This window comes from Homo sapiens, chromosome 3 (genome assembly GCF_000001405.40).
Source record: "Homo sapiens chromosome 3, GRCh38.p14 Primary Assembly".
NCBI lineage: Eukaryota > Metazoa > Chordata > Mammalia > Primates > Hominidae > Homo > Homo sapiens.
This window is the reverse complement of record NC_000003.12, coordinates 172,858,470-172,875,445: the sequence shown is the minus strand read 5'-3', so window position 1 is coordinate 172,875,445 and position 16,976 is coordinate 172,858,470. Positions and strand designations below refer to the sequence as shown.

At 42.6% G+C, this 16,976-nt stretch overlaps 1 annotated feature.

The window, feature by feature from the left end:
- Positions 13,597-14,187: an enhancer, noted in NCBI's record as "NANOG hESC enhancer chr3:172579049-172579639 (GRCh37/hg19 assembly coordinates)". NCBI's record gives its function as "activates a minimal SCP1, AML or CMV promoter by ChIP-STARR-seq in naive H9 embryonic stem cells {active_cell/tissue: H9 hESC(naive)}" and the evidence as "EXISTENCE:reporter gene assay evidence [ECO:0000049][PMID:30033119]".

Below are 16,976 nucleotides of genomic sequence, written 5' to 3'. Positions count from 1 at the left end.
CCCATACCCATCACTTATGTTATCCTCTATCTGCTCTTGGATGGCTTTATACACAGGTGACATTTCGGACCTATGAGGTGTTTGCTCTTGGAGGCTGCAAAATGGGGTAAATCCTATCATATGTAGCATTAGAGCATTTCTGCATAGTGTTTTATGATGGATGTGGTAGCCTCAGGAACTCCAGTTGGATATATAAACAGCCTCTTGTTTGTTATTTTAATTGTGGTCATTAAACAAATGTAAATGAAATGTGCACTCTGCTCTTCATTATTTGCATGTAGATTTGGCAAGCAATACTTGAAAAAAAAAATCACCCAGTTCTTTTATAATCATTACTATTCTCAGACAGTAAAATAACTCTTTCATTTATTCATTCATTTATTCCACAAATATTTACTGAACATATACTATGCACAAGGCAGTGTGAAAAGGTAGCAAGCGTGGGATATACAAAAATGGCAAGGAGATAGTGCTTGCTCTCAAAAAGCATATAGTCTAGTGGGAAGAGAAATATAAACAGTTAAATTACAGAACTATCTGTGTGTTGTTGTAAAATTCAAAATCAAATAAAAATCTATGCCAAGAGACCCAAGCAGGCATGTTTAACATAGAAGATGTGCTATTTGAGTTGGATTTTAAAGGATGAGTAGGACATTTCCAAATGGAGAAAGCTCAAAGGAATCCCTGATCAAGGAAAGAGCAAAAGAGATGTATACAGAGGGAACACAATTTTATTTCCGGCCTAAGCAAAATATAATTAAGTAAAGGATATCTACTTTTCATCGCCTCCCCATTCTCTTCCCTAAATCACATAACACAGGCAAAACTCCAGTACAAATAATTTGGAACTTTGCTTCTGTTCCTCTTTAGCGGTATGAACAAAGGTGAGATTTTGTTACTAATAACCACAAAACAGCAACTAACATGCTCTTTTCACACTGTCATCACCCTTGATCTCACAGGTCTTAGGAATTAATCAAACCAAACTTGTTGAGTATTGCCAAGTAACTAAGACTTACCCAGGTGAGTAATAAATGGTTAAGCCAGGCCGGGCACACTGGCTCACTCCTGTATTCCCAGCACTTTGGGAGGGCGAGACGGGTGGATCACCTGAGGTCAGGTGTTCGAGATCAGCCTGGCCAATGTGATGAAACCCTGTCTCTACTAAAAATTCAAAAATTAGCTGGGCGTGGTGGCAAGCATCTGTAGTTCCAGCTACTCGGGAGGCTGAGGTGGGAGAATTGCTTGAATCCGGGAGGCGGAGGTTGCAGTGAGCTGAGATTGCGCCACTGCACTCCAACCTGGGTGACAGAGCTAGACTCTGTCTCAAAAAAAAGTAATAATAAAATAAATGATAAAGAAAGAAAGAAATATTTAATCCAGGGCATGAGACATTTTCAAAGGGGTCAGCCAAAATTTCAGGCCACAGGGTCTTCAGCTGTAGTATTGCAAGAACTGGCTGAGCAAATGGCTCCTGCCTTCCTACACCTTATGAATATCTCCAGTGCAGTTATGCCACGGGTCATAGAACAGGGCAACTTCTCAAGGGGTTGATTACTGCCATGGTAATCAAGCTATGTGGTAATCAAGCTTTGTTTTCTAAGAACAAAATGAAAACACATGATCTGGTAAGAAGACCTAATATGTGAATGCAAAAACAACTTGCCAAACTTTCAAGATGGAAGGGTATAGCAACCATTTCCCCAGGGAGGATCTGCTCTCTATACCAGTTGCTATGGTTTGAATACTCCCTCTAAAACTTATGTTAACATTTACTACCATTGTGATGGTATTAAGAGGTGGGACATTTAAGAGGTGATTAGGCCATGACCCCCATAAACATATTACTGCTTTTCTCTTGGGAAGGAATTGATTACCTTGGGAGTCTGGCCTCCTTCTTCCCTCTGTCTTGTGTACTCACTTCTGCCTTCTGCCATGGGATAAGGCCCTTGCCAGATGCCAGCACCATGCTCTGAGACTTGTCAACCTTCAGAATCAGAAGCCAAATAAAACTCTGTTCATTACAAATTACTTTGTCTGTAGTATTCTGTTATAGCAGCAGAAAACAAACTAAGACACATCAGTGCTGTGCAATAAAAATGTAATGAGTTGTCACGAAGGTGAACCACATATACAATTTTTAATTTTTATAGCAACATTTAAAAAGTTAAAAAAGATACAATTTTGATAATATATTTTATGTAGTCTAATCTATCCAAAATATTATAATTTTTTAATGTAAGCATAATTTTAAAGTATTAATGAGACATTAATGACTGTTTAACATTGAGTACCTGTTTTTCATTTACAGTACATCTCAATTTGGACTAGCCACATTGCAAGTGCCCAATAGTCACATATATCTAGCAGCTGTGGTATCAGACAGTACAGGTCTGTACAAAAGCATCTATCTGTGTTCCTCCCTTCCCTGAACCACTCTGCATTGGTAGTCATCTCCAAATAATCAAAGGGCTAGCCAGTGTTAATCAAGACTCTGGCTCAAGATATATGATAAATCTCCTTTGTTCTCTCATTTATTCACTTCGCAAACATTGGTTCAGCAATTATTATTATGTACCAAGTAATGTGCTTAATGTGGTAACACGAAATAAAGCTGGATCTCTACTTTCACAGTGTAGTTGAGGAGAAACAAGTCAGACTATAATAATACGATGCGTTGAGTTATTTGACAGTGTGTGCACAGGGGGCCTCAGAAGCCCAGAGGCAAATCAGGGAATGAACAGAGAATGGAGGGAAGCTGGAAAATCACTCACTGCAGGACTAGTGAAAGTCCTCAAAGAGTTCGAGGTAGAAGTTCTAAAAACTATGGCTGTCTTGCAAAATAATGGCCTATCTCAGGGATAGGCAAATTATGCCCGTGAGCCAAATTCAGCCCATCGCCAGTTTTTGTAAATAAAGTTTTATTGTAACACAGTCATACCCATTGACTTACATATTGTCCATAGCTGGTTTCCTACATTAGCAGGTTTAGTAGTTACATTAAAATAAAAACCCAAGGGCCTGCAAAACCTAAAATATTTACTGTCTGGCCCTTTGTTGAAAAAGTTTGCTGAGACTGTGATATTTTCATTATAGGAAATATTCAAGTAGAGGCTGGATCTATCCAGGGTATAGAAGGAATATGTTCTTTAAAAGGGAGAATGGTAACCTTTACAGTTCCTTCACTCTGGACAGGTCTGTGATTATAGGCCTGCTTTTCTATGACAAAAACAAGTCATACTCCCTCATTTATATTTGACCGACATCCCTATCATGGGCAGCATTGCAAGTTGTAGAAAAGGAAGTCATTCCCTATATGACCATGGTTTAGGTAATGCACCTGACTTCTTATATACAGTTTACTGCCGCTCTAAATAATCAAGAAAATAAATTTTTGGCTTCCAGCATCACCAAGCCACTATCATAGGAAATGCTGCAATTAATTTGAAGGAAGTCCAGGGGACAGCAACCTGACCTGCCACTGACTGCATTTACCAGCAGACTAAAAACCAGGCTTTCCCTCTTGACCACAGATATTAATCATGGGGCAGCCCTTCAACCTTTGTTGTTCTTTACGAGGCTGGATGGTCACTGCAGAGAAGGAAGCCACCTCTGAGATTACCTCTTCAGCAGTCACCATAGCACATTTCTGGTATCACCAGTAGTATGTTGTTCGGCAAATAGTGGAGGCACAGAAGCAAATCACAAAGACTCCGTTTTAAAATGTCTACAAGAGCTACCCCCAACGGCACTTATGTTCATTCCATCCCCTCTTTAAGTGTCTCCTCACTAAATATGTCAAGTCTCAGATGATGCTCACAGGTGAAGGTAGCTAAAAAGACCCCAAAGCATTTGGGGTAGAAAATTATTTATAGCTGCTGTTTACTTCTCTCCAGCAGTCGCCTTGGAAATACTTACAGGTTTAAAGTAAATCCTCCTTCTTTCCCTCCTGTCCTCATGAAGGGATTCCCTTCCTCCTTGTTTACTATGGCTGCTGTACCAATGAGCTGCACTCCTGCTCTCAGACTTTTGCTGATTCTTGTTATCAGTCTGAAGAAACCGGCTGTTTTAAAAGAAAAGGCGGCGGTGAGGGGGGAACACTCTCCAGCATTGGGTAGTATAAAGGGAGGATCATGTAAGTTATAGCTATCTAGGGCCAGCTGGTGAGAATACTTGGCATTTGTTCTCCCCCACGCCCAGCCCCCAGGCTGAGGGATACCTGCAACAATAAAAAATAATAGAAGATTTGCTCCCATGAAGCCTTTACTGAAATGCTCCACTGGAAAGACTGACTGTAGGTTGGGAGGAGGGGAAACGTTCCATCAGTGGGATTCAGAGTGATGTTCCCTCTTCTAAATTATCCCACGGCATGAATCAGCTGAACCAGTCCATGGCATTTCTCAAATCCTGCTCTACTCTGTTGTCTGCGTGTATGTGTTTCATTCACTCAAACAGTGTCTAAAAATTCCTTAAAGGCATTATAATCCCACATGTTCTTTTGCGTACTTCCGGTGGCTCCTAACACAGGGTCTACACCCTGAATTCATTTGAAAACTATTTTTTGATGTACTACTTTTGAGGCCTGTAAGCTAGTGTGAATACATTTTAAGAATTTTAAAGGTTTTAAGAGTAACCAGAACACAGAAGAGAAGGAGCAGACTTTTTAATCCTTCCTCACTGTGACAGGCAGTGTAATAGCCTCCCGAAGATGTCCAAGTTCTCATCTCCAGAACCCATAAATGTGTTATGTCACATGGTAAGGGAGAATTAATATTGCAGTTGAATTAAGATCGCTAATCTGCTGATATTAAAACAGGAAGATTATCTGAATGGCCTCAATGTAATCACAAGGGTCCTTAAAAATAGAAGCAAGAAGCAGAAGAAGAGCTAGAGCATCCTATGTGAGAAAGCCCTACAGCCATTGCTGGATCCGAAAATGAAATGGGTCCATAAGTCAAGCAACACAAGCAGGCTCCAAGAACTGGAAAAGGCAAAAAAACAGATTGTGCCCCATAGCTTCCAGAAGGGAATGCAGCCCTGCCAACTTCTTGCTCTTAGCCCAGGTCTGACCTCCAGAACTGTAGGAGGCCATGATTATGTTGTCTTAAGCCACTAAATTAATGGAAATTTGTTACAGAAGCAGTAAAAATCCAAGGCATTCAGCTAAGACTTAGGCAAAAAGAAGGAAGTTTAATATTTGAGGCATTTCCTTCCTGATAGATTCTGCCTTCAAGAGAACCGTAAATCCTGTATGACCAGATGGTTTCTATGTAATAAGGACTGAAGAGCCAAGTGACTACAGGGCAAAATCTTCGGCCTCCAAGACCCTTGTATGTTTCAGGCAATACACACTATGGGAGGTAGAACTAGCCTTGTTCTTGTATGGAATGAACAGTTGCTTCTGCAGTATGATTTCATGTGGAAGGATAAGGGTTTCCCCAACTACTTCCCTAGAAATGTCCCTCCCACTTCTCTACTGGGATCTGAGACCTAGGAAAGTAATATCACAGCCAGCTGAATAGGCTATCATCCCTGCTTTCTGTAAGAAAGTCTTTTATCTGTGGATATCAAGGATCTAGTTTTCACAATGCTATAGTGCCTGGATGACAAAATGTCCATTGAAAAGTGGTGTCCCCAAACCTGATAAGCAGTGGATGTTAATTGAGATAGGTTAACAGCCGTTGATACTGGCTGGAAACGCAAGGGAGCACATGGAGACACAGATGTTTGCCAAGCCAGAGAGGAGAATAGAAAGAATTGGACTCCAAAGACCATTTTTGCTACACTACAATTTTGCTTCCTGTCAACACTTAAAGGGGCAGGCTTCCCAATTCAGTCTGTATCAAGTTGATTAGCCTGAAAGGGCTGCAGAAGCTGCCTCCATTCCATTTTCCCAGTGAAATAGGAGCCTCCAGGGTTCTTGAAATTGCTCAGTACCGAGGTACAAGTCTAAAGCATTTATGGGAGTTGGCCTGTAGCCCACTTCTTATGAATACACATAAACACACCTTTTATTGCTCAATAATGCTTTCCCTTTTGCAACTTTTTATGAACCACTAAAAAAAACTGGGGCTTTTATTTTAATTTTTTCAGAAAAAAATACAGAAATACCAAATCTTCCCAATGGGAACTTCTCTTGCCTGCTGTCTCAACTAAAAATTATTTGTCCAGAGAGTGGTCAAAGCTTCAGCATTGACAACTCAAGATATTAATTTGGTCCAAATCCAACTGATTTGCTTTCCAGACTGAGCTGCTGCATTCCTCTTTATGAGCCTTCTCTGGGGTGCTTAAGGTACAATGCAGCAGAATTCATCAGCTCTATATGCCTGTGGGATGTACTCCCCACCAGCTCTGTTGCAAATCAGCATTCTCTCCCATTGGCTCCTATCCAGAAGAACAAAATGCCCTTTCATCCATGCATATCTCTTCATTTCCACTTCCACACCATGAGTCCAAACCTTCATGACCACCTGCCTGGACCAATACAATAGCTTCCTAACTGGTCTCCCTATCTCTAATATCCACATTCTCCAATTTATGACCACATTGCTGCCAGAGTAATCTTAAAGAAGAGATGTAATCATATTACCCAGTTCAGATGTTTTAATAGTTCTCCCCTTTTCACCAAGTGAAATTCAATCTCCTTAACCTGTCATTTGACTTCAGACCACCTGGCTCCCAATTACCTTTCCAGATGCGTCACTCACTACTCTCCTTCATGCATTCTGCACTGCTGACACTATGGAAGGTTTGGCATTCTGCAGTGTAGCCCACACATGGATTTACTTTTGGCACTTCACAGTCCTTTGTTTCAAGCCACAAAAACTGATTTTGGCTACCTTAGAAAAATGGGGATATACCGGAAGGATGTGTAGAAATTCACAGAAACTGAAGTGTTAGGCTTAGAAAGCTCAGTTTGGGGTTGGGGGACAAGATCTCAGAGTAACAAAAACTGTGGGACAATCTTTTCAGGGCACAACCAGAGTGAACAAATGAGGGCCACATTATTGCTTTTTTTTTTTTTTTTTTTTTTGCCACTCTGCTCAGATTACAGAGAAAATCCAATTGACCTGGCTTTAGCTAGAGGAAATCAGAGCATCTCTGTAAATAATATTTTGTGAACTTTACCCAATGGATGGAGAGAATTTCCCCAACCGTAAATCAGAGTGTTGGGTATAAAAAACAAATAATAGAGGCTGGGCAGCCAAACGCAAGAAATATCTATGACACATTATCCTCACCTGGAATTCTTGGTTTCTAAATGCCCAAACTCTGCTCTTCCTTCAAGACCCAGTGCAGACACCATTTTGAAGCCTGAGCTCATCTCTCATGTTGCCAGTTCTAGTTCAGAGCATGTTCCTCGCTTCCAGTTCTCTTTACTTTCTGCCTTGTTTTAAAGTTATTATTCTCTTTTTCACTTTGCAATGAGAAAATCTTTATAATGAAAGTCAGCTCCCCTTGTGTCCGGAATTGGTGGGTTCTTGGTCTCACTGACTTCAAGAACGAAGCCGCGGACCCTTGCGGTGAGTGTTAACAGTTCTTAAAGGCGGCGTGTCCGGAGTTTGTTCCTTCTGATGTTCGGATGTGTTCAGAGTTTCTTCCTTCCGGTGGGTTCGTGGTCTCGCTGGCTCAGGAGTGAAGCTGCAGACCTTCGCGGTGAGTGTTACAGCTCTTAAGGCGGCGCGTCTGGAGTTGTTCGTTCCTGCCGGTGGGTTCGTGGTCTCGCTGGCTTCAGGAGTAAAGCTGCAGACCTTCACGGTGAGTGTTACAGCTCATAAAGGCAGTGTGGACCCAAAGAGTGAGCAGCAGCAAGATTTATTGCAAAGAGCAAAAGAACAAAGCTTCCACAGTGTGGAAAAGGACTCCGGTTGCCACTGCTGGCTCCGGCAGCCTGCTTTTATTCTCTTATCTGGCCCCACCCACATCCTGCTGATTGGTAGAGCTGAGTGGTCTGTTTTGACAGGGTGCTGATTGGTGCGTTTACAATCCCTGAGCTACAGACAAAGGTTCTCCACGTCCCCACTAGATTAGCTAGATACAGAGTGTGGACACAAAGGTTCTCCAAGTCCCCACCAGAGTAGCTAGATACAGAGTGTGGATTGGTGCATTCACAAACCCTGAGCTAGACACAGGGTGCTGATTGGTGTATTTATAATCCCTGAGCTAGACATAAAGTTTCTCCACGTCCCCACCAGACTCAGGAGCCCAGCTGGCTTCAGCCAGTGGATCCCACACCAGGGCTGCAGGTGGAGCTGCCTGCGAGTCCCGCGCCGTGCGCTGGCACTCCTCAGCCCTTGGGTGGTCGATGGGACCGGGTGCCGTGGAGCAGGGGGCGGTGCTCGTCCGGGAGGCTCAGGCCACACAGGAGCCCACGGAGGGGGTGGGAGGCTCAGGCATGGCGGGCTGCAGGTCCCGAGCCCTGCCCTGCGGGAAGGCAGCTAAGGCCCGGCGAGAAATGGAGCACAGCGCAGGTGGGCTGGCACTGCTGGGGGACCCAGTACACCCTCTGCAGCCGCTGGCCCGGGTGCTAAAGCCCCTCATTGCTCGGGGCCGGCAGGGCCGGCCGGCTGCTCCGAGTGCGGGGCCCGCCAAGCCCATGCCCCCCCGAAACTCCAGCTGGCCCGCAAGTGCCGCGCGCAGCCCCGGTTCCCACTCGCGCGTCTCCCTCCACACCTCCCTGCAAGCTGAGGGAGCAGGCTCCGGCCTTGGCCAGCCCAGAAAGGGGCTCCCACAGTGCAGCGGTGGGCTGAAGGGCTCAAGTGCCGCCAAAGTGGGAGCCCAGGCAGAGGAGGCGCCGAGAGCTAGCGAGGGCTGTGAGGACTGCCAGCACGCTGTCACCCCTCACCCTCGCTATGCTTCAGTTTCTGGGTCTATAAAAAGGATATAATAACTATTCCATGGGATCATTGTGAGTAGGATTAATGTCTGTACATAATGAAATTAGTTCAGTGCCTAACATGCAGTAAGCTCTCCATATATGTTAGCTGTTGTTATTATCATTTTTACTTAGTTGTCACCATAATCATTATTAATACATAACTCTTTGAGACCAGGAACTGTGATTTATTCATCTTTAGAGACCCCAGTCAAATATTTTGTACACGAAAGCTCTTCGTTACTCCTGGTGAATGAATGACTCAGTCAATAAAGCAATCAATCAGTGAAGGAAGAAAAAATTTGGAAGCTGAAATTGAAACTAGGATTTGAGTAAGCCTGCCCTTTCTATTTTTTCCAGACAATAAGGAGGCCTCAACTATAAAAGCAAGGATCATAATAGATGTTCCAGTAAATAGACAAGAATAAGGTCTCACACTGAACATTCATTCCATGGTTCTGAGGCAATTGGAAATAAAGCCCCAGTTCTGTTTGTTCTTTTGCAGCAATAGTCTATGCCTGCAGGAGACTATAAAATTGGAAATGAAAGGAAAGAAGTGATGGAGGGAGGGGGGAGAGAGAACATTAATAGGCATTAGTAGGAATTTTAGGGTGGCCCAGGGTGACAGGCAACACATACACATACCAGCCCGAGTCCTAGTTCTCTAACTCTGCCAGTGGCCCCCTTAAAAGACATCCTTGTTTGCTGCCACTGCATACAATAGTCATGGATGCTTTTCAGGTGTCACTTGGTTACCATGATGGGTCTGTCATCTATTAATTTATCTAAACCTTCTTCAAATCCATTTATATGTTCAGCCTCTGCTACTTTCCACTTGGATCTTAAAGCTTTGCTTAAGTCTCATCTTGGTGGCCAGGGATAGATGAGGAAAAAGCAAGCCCTTCCAACCGAGAGCTAGAGAAAATTACATTTAAACCTTAGCCATGCCGCTCCCTCAACACTCTTGGACCAGGAATTTGCTCTCCTTCCTTCACTTTGATCCATTTAAAATTGACATAATAATCTCAGATGAGTGCATTAAAGGTTAATTAGATTTTAACATTTTCGTGCCACTCAGAATATGATGAAGATTATATAAATGTTACATCACATTATAGATCCTGGATAAGAATCCTTTTTTAGTTTGACTAAATTTATATTTCTACCTGTTCACTCCCCTGCCCTCCGCGTCACTATACTTTCACACACCCTGGATAATCCCTGCAGGGCCCCAGCATGTGTAGATTATGCCCTGCTCTATTCTAGAGGATGACACTCACATCCTGTCGATCATACATCTGCCCATTCCGTACGAAAATTTGCAGACAAATAGCAGTCAAGTGTCCTGAAGAAGCAGCACCTTTTTCTGCTTCGCTGGATTTGAGACATCAGTATGTATTCACCCACTTCATCCTTGGGCCTTTAAACAAGCTGCCATTTACAAACTAGGTTCAAGAGAGTGAAATGGTATTTTAAACATAATGCACATGTAGTAGTTACCTCCTGCAGCTGACTTCCCACTCAGTACATAGGCCTTTGATTGGAGCTGTTCCTCATGGAGTGGATTTGGGGGCCCAGCACTTTCTCTTCCAACCCTGGTTCTGGGTCCAGAAGATATACTCTTAGGCAGGTCTAAAAATTAATCAAGCTTGGATGTCTTCTCTCCAGATCCTGCATTTCTGGCACAGAAATTTGTCTCAGTCTGAGTGAGAGGATGCCAGGCAAATCCACAGCACTAAATGTGGCTCCAATTAACAGCATCTTTTATTCTCTCCTCAAAGGGAGGTTGGCCCCTGGATCTGGCTCCTCGCAGGCATTGAACAGTATGTGCGTAACCCTCAGAGTGGAGCAGAAACACACCTCTTGTTTTGTTTCTGGATTTACTATTTTGAGTGGATTTAAGAAAAAAAAAAACGCTTTTTTTATTATTATTTTCCTCACTTCCCAATGCTTTTACTTCAGGTACATGCACACAAACATATAATAATCTCATCACACACACATACACACACATATCACCTATGTAAAACAGGATTTAACCATTTAACAGGAATGGCTGTGCATGTAACAGCCTTGGGAGTCAGAATTCTCTGGATGAAGTAAACAATCATCCATCAAGCATTTATTGAGCTCTTACTTAAAACTCAGCTTATTGACACTACAGGGGAGGCAAAATCCTTGCCCCAGGATAGGAATGGAAAGATGGCAAGGGACTTACTCTACTTAATCTCACTTTTTAAAATCTGTAGAATGAAGATAATAATGCTTACCTGCACAGAACATTAGCTAATTGAAGTAATACACATAAAATCTCCTAAGTAGCTAATAAATGTTCAATAAATACTTATGGAAGGCCCACTACACTAATTAATAAGACAAGCATTGTTCCTGCTTTCATGGAGCTTTTACTCTTATTAGACTCTTTTTTCCCTTGATAGGTTCTAGAGCAAAGGAGCAACCAGTGGTGGGCTAGAGGCAGCTTGTCCTGGCTTACAAGAGCCAATTATTAAATATTCAAAACCAGGCTGGGGATGGTGGCTCACACCTGTAATCCCAGCACTTTGGGAGGCCAAGGCAAACAGATCGCTAGAGGCCAGGAGTTTGGGACCAGCCTAGTCAGCATAGCAGGACTCCCTCTCTCCAAAAAGAAAAAATAATAAAATAAAAATAACTTGGCATGGTGGCATGCACCTATAGTCCTAGCTCCTAGCTACTCCAGAGGCTGAGCCTTCAGCCCAGGAGTTCCAGGCTACAGTGAGACACAACTGTGCCACTATACTCCAGTCTGGACAACAAAGTGAGACCCTGTCTCAAATAAATAAGTAAATAAATATTTAGAACTAGTTGTTAAACCATTGGTAACTTGAAATGTGAACTGCTTGTTAAACTATGGGTACCTTAAAATGTGGGAGTATTTATATCATATAAATCAACAAACCCTACAAATCAGGCTTCTTTTTGTTTGTTTCAGAAAGCCAGTTTTCCAGCACACCTTTGGGAGTAATAATATGAAAGAATGAAGAATATAGCATGGTGGTTAAAAAGAGGGGCCAGACATGGTGGCTCATTCCTGTAATCCCAACACTCTGGGAAGCCAAGGCAGGAGGATCGCTTGAGCCCAGGAGTCTGAGACTAGATTGGATAACATAGTAAGACGCCCTCTCTACAAATTTTTTTTTTTAATTAGCCGGGCACAGTGGCACATGCCTGTAGTCCCAGCTACTCAAGAGGCTGAGATGAGAGAATTGCTTGAGCCCAGGAGGTCAAGGCTGCAGTGAGCTATGATCACACCACTGCATTCTAGCCTGGGTGACAGAGAAAGACCCTGTCTCAAAATATTTAAGTAAATAAGAATCTAGAATTGGGCAGACAACAATTAGTATTCTAGCTCTACAATCTATAAGCTGTGAGACTTTGAACAAGTCATCAAGCTCCTCTGAACCTAATTATCCTCATTCATTAAGTGGGATAATAATGTAACTTAACTCACTTTAGTGTGCTTAAGTTGCCATAACAAAATACCATAGACTGGATGTTTATGGTTTTCTTGCATTTCTGGAGGCTAGAAGTCCAAGACCAAGGTGCCAGTCTAGTCATTTCTGATGAGGGCTCTCTTCCTGACTTGCAAATGACAGCCTTCTCATTGCTTCCCCATGTGGCCTTTCCTTGGTGTGTGCACACGGAGAAAGAAATCCATGTCTCTGGTGTCTCTTTTTATAAGGACACTAATCCTATCAGATCAGGGTCCCATGCTCATGACCTGATTTGACCTTAGTTACTTCCACAAAAGCCCCATTTCCAAATATAGTCAGATTGGGGGTTAGGGCTTCACCATATAAATTTGGGGGTGGACACAAGCATTCAATCCAAACACTACCTCCTAGGTTTATTCAGAAGGTAAAATGAGATGCAATATATAAATACAGTGCTTCCGAAGTACTCAATAAATATTGTCTATGATTACTACTACTTGTTAAATACGTGTATTAGTCCATTCTCTAATTGCCATAAAGAAATACCTGAGACTGGGTAATTTATAAAGAAAAAGGCTTAATTAGCTCATGATTCTACAGGGTATACAGAAAGCATGATGCTGGCATCTGCTTGGCTTTTGGGGAGGCCTCAGGAAACTTACAATCATGGCGGAAGGGAAAGGGAGAGCGAGCACCTCATGTGGTGGAAGCAGGAGGAAGCGGGGGTGGGAGGTGCCACACACTTTTAAACACCTAGGTCTTACGAGAACTCACTCACTATGTAGTACCAAGGGAGAATGGTGCTAAACCATTCATGAGAACTCTGCCCCATGATCCAATCACCTCCCACCAAGCCCCACCTCTAACATTAGGGATTACAATTCAACAAGAGATTTGGGCAGGGACAAAAATCTAAACCATATCAATACATGAGTCTGGCTTTGTGGGGTGGTGGGAAGGGATGTTAGAGAAGGCAAGCCTACAGGCAAACAATCAGGCTGTTGGAAAACCCCAGACAACTAAAATCTAGACAACAACAGATCTTATTAAGTAAAAAATTAATAAGATATAGAAATTACCAGTTATGAAGTCAAGAAGAAGAAGAAATGGTCAGAAATAGCTCTAGGGAGTCTGGGTAACTAGAAATTAGAAATTGATGAGAAAAGATGCTATAAGATAAGAATCAGATCTAGAAGAAAGATGAGAGAGAGCCACTGAAACAATTGAGAATTTAATATAATGGCCAAAAATATCTATTATCCAGATATTTCAGTTTATGACAATATGTATTTATTGATCAAATATTTATTGCGTTTCTACTATGTACAAGGCATTGTAAGGGATGCAAAAATGATCCAGAATGTAGACCCTGGGCTTGACGTGCATATGGCCTATTAAAGGAGAGAACATGAAAAGAAAATTGTCATGCAAGCTTGAAAGAGATTCAAATTAGGTGCAATGGACTTTCAAAAGAAAGGGAGGTGGCTCCATGCTGGGAAAGATTAGTATTTCATGAAAGCAGAGGTATGGGGCATAAAGGATAGATTGGATTTGAATAAATAGGAAGATAGGGATTCGGGTGGAGAAAGGCATCCTCAAAGAGACTTCCCTCTGGCATGAACAAACACACTGAGGTGAGAAAATACATTCAGGGGGCAGTTCATTCAGCCAAAGCATAGAAGGTCAACTGGGGAGTAGTAAGAAATCAAATTAGAATGCCATCAAAGATCAACAACAAAGGATCTCAAAATCTAGGTTACAGAATTTAAACTTGATTTAGTAGATAGTTGTATGTCCCTACTATGTTGTTCAAGTAAATATAAACATCTTTCACCCACCCATAATTGATATACTTAGATTCTTACATTCCACAAATCTCTAAATAATCTTTCATCAGCTGTGCTGACTTTAAGGTGCCTGATTCCTGGCATTCATCCTCTTGTAAGTCCCTCAGCAACCAAACTGCTCAAGATGATCCCACATTTCCCAACTTTTGGAAAACTAAACATCTTTAGTCTTTAGCTACCTTAGCTTTTCAAACCTCGGAGCTTCCTCAAAAAGATGAAGTAGAAAAGTCTAGCTACTCTCACTTGTGCAGGGTAGTGCATGAATGAGTTATCTTAGTTAGCCAGGGCTGCCATAACAAAGCATCATGGCTGGGTGGCTCAAACAACTGAAATTTATTTTCTCTCAACTTTGGAGGCTGAAAGTCTGAGATCAAGGTGTCAGCAGGGTTGGTTTCTGCTGAGACCTCTCTCCTTGGCTTGTAGATGGCTGCCTTCTCCCTGTGTTCTCACATGGTCTTCCCTACGTGTGCTCCTGGTGTCTCTTCCTCTTCTTTCTTTTTTTTTAGATGGAGTCTCGCTCTCTTACCCAGGCTGGAGTCCAGTGGTGCGATCTCGGCTCACTGCAACCTCTGCCTCGTGGGTTCAAGCAATCTCCCTGCCTCAGTAGCTGGTATTACAGGCACCTGCCACCACCCCTGGCTAATTTTTGTATTTTTTAGTAGAGATGGGGTTTCGCCATGTTGGCCAGGCTGGTCTTGAACTCCTGACCTCAGGTGATCCGCCTGCCTTGGCCTCCCAAAGTGCTGGGATTACAGGTGTGAGCCACCGCACCCGGCCTCTCTTCCTGTTCTTAAAAGGACCAAGTCATATTGGATTAAGGCCCACCCATATGATCTCATTTAATTATCTCTTTAAAGACCCTAGCTCCAAATGCAGCCACATTCTGAGGTACTGAGGGCTAGGACTTTAACATATGAATTGAGGGGGATGGGTCAGTGGGGAACAGTCCAGCCCATAACATTATTAAGCAAAAGAAAGGGAAGTTAAGGTTTTTGACATATCAAGAATTTTGGGAAGATCTCTTCTGAGCCCTACTCTCCACTTTCTTCTCACTGAAAGTGTCTGGGAAGAGAGTCAGAGGAAGAGTGGAGGCCGATGTGTCTGCGCTCCAGGCCACACACATGCACACCTAGTGTCTTTCTCAAAGCATCTGGGCCTCTTACTACCTTGAAGTATGCGCAGGTGCTTGCAAGAGGCCTAGGTGCTTTTGAGAAAGACACTGTGAGATTGTGCACTTCTGGAGAACATTTCCAGAATTTTATTCATGTCCATACCCCTAGCACTTAGCCTCTGGCCTAACACAAAACAGGCACCCAGTCAATGGTAGTTGAAGTGAGTGAGGGAAGGGAGGAGAGAAAGGAGACGGGAAGTGTCAGCAAGATGATGGGGCCAGGGCTTTGGCACTGAGACATGCAAGGCTTCCTTTACTTAGGTGCTGCCGGCCTCCATGGTTAGATTTTGAGCTTAAAAAGACCATAATCTAGAATCATCTTTATATTCTTCCAGACAAAATGCCTAACATAGAATCAAGCACACACTGAACATTCAATGTATGTACATTAAATTGAATTTCCTCAGTGAAGTGAATCTTTCTTTCACTTTTAGGGAGGATGTGTAGATAAGTCATACTTTTAAAAATCCACAGGTTTTTGTAGATGAGTCATTCCTAAATACAAGACTATAATGAGTTTATTATTATTATTATTACTATTATTATCATTACTACTATTTCTACCTCTTGTGCACCAGAATACTTAAAGATCCCATGGGTAAAGGAGACCAGAGTCTTTGAAAGACTCAAAACTAAAGCAACTTGCCTTCACCTTCTCTCCACCACACTACCAAGAATTAATTACCTACTTTGGGGGAATGAACAGAAGCATTATTCCATGTAGAATGGGAAAACCAGGCCCTCCGGACTCAGAGGGCTTCAAAGCTGAGCCTGCTAAGCTGCATCAACTTGAGGAGGATTTAAATCCTTTACCCTGCTTTCTCTGTCAGTAGTGAGTCACAGTTAGATGAGAAGGTGGTCTGGCAATGACAGGAAGCATCTTGCATGAGGTTAGTTGACATAATCTACTCTAGATACACAAACTCTAAAGATGGCGGTCATATCTCTGGTGTTAGCACACTTTTGAATTATTATTTAAAACAGGCATTATAGATTAGAAAAAAAAGCCTTTGTTTAAAAACAGATGATTTCTCTTAATTTCTAGGGAAATTAGAAATGCTCTAATGCTGCTGCTGATAGAATTAACTTCTCCTATTAATATATTACAGGGTTGATGCTGTGTCATTTATGCATTATAAAAACCCCAAAATCCTCAAGCACTCTGAACAGTAACAACCCGAGCAAACTGAGCCTGAGAGAGCTCCTTGGTCCATGTCCCTCATCATGTTCCACTTCCCCTCTTCTTCTCTGCACCGAGCCCTCTCTAAGGCAGTCACCCATGTAAAGAATGCAGAAGCCCCACAAAGGCAATGTGTTCTTTCCCTTTGTAACAATGGAATCTTAAACTGTTACCCAAACCTAGCAGCACACCAGTTTTAAAGATCTTCAGCACACTTCGTAAGTGGTAATCAGGACATAGGAATTCACTGATTAATTCAACAAAGTTTTCTTGAGCATCTACGTTATGCCAAGGGTTGTGCTTTCAGAGGTACTGGTCGGAGTCCATCACCACGAGTCTGTGGCCACCCCACTGTGGCTCAGACCTCACATACACAAAGGGCCAGTGTAGTCCCATCAAACATAGGTTTGTAAAGTCTTCCCAAAGACAC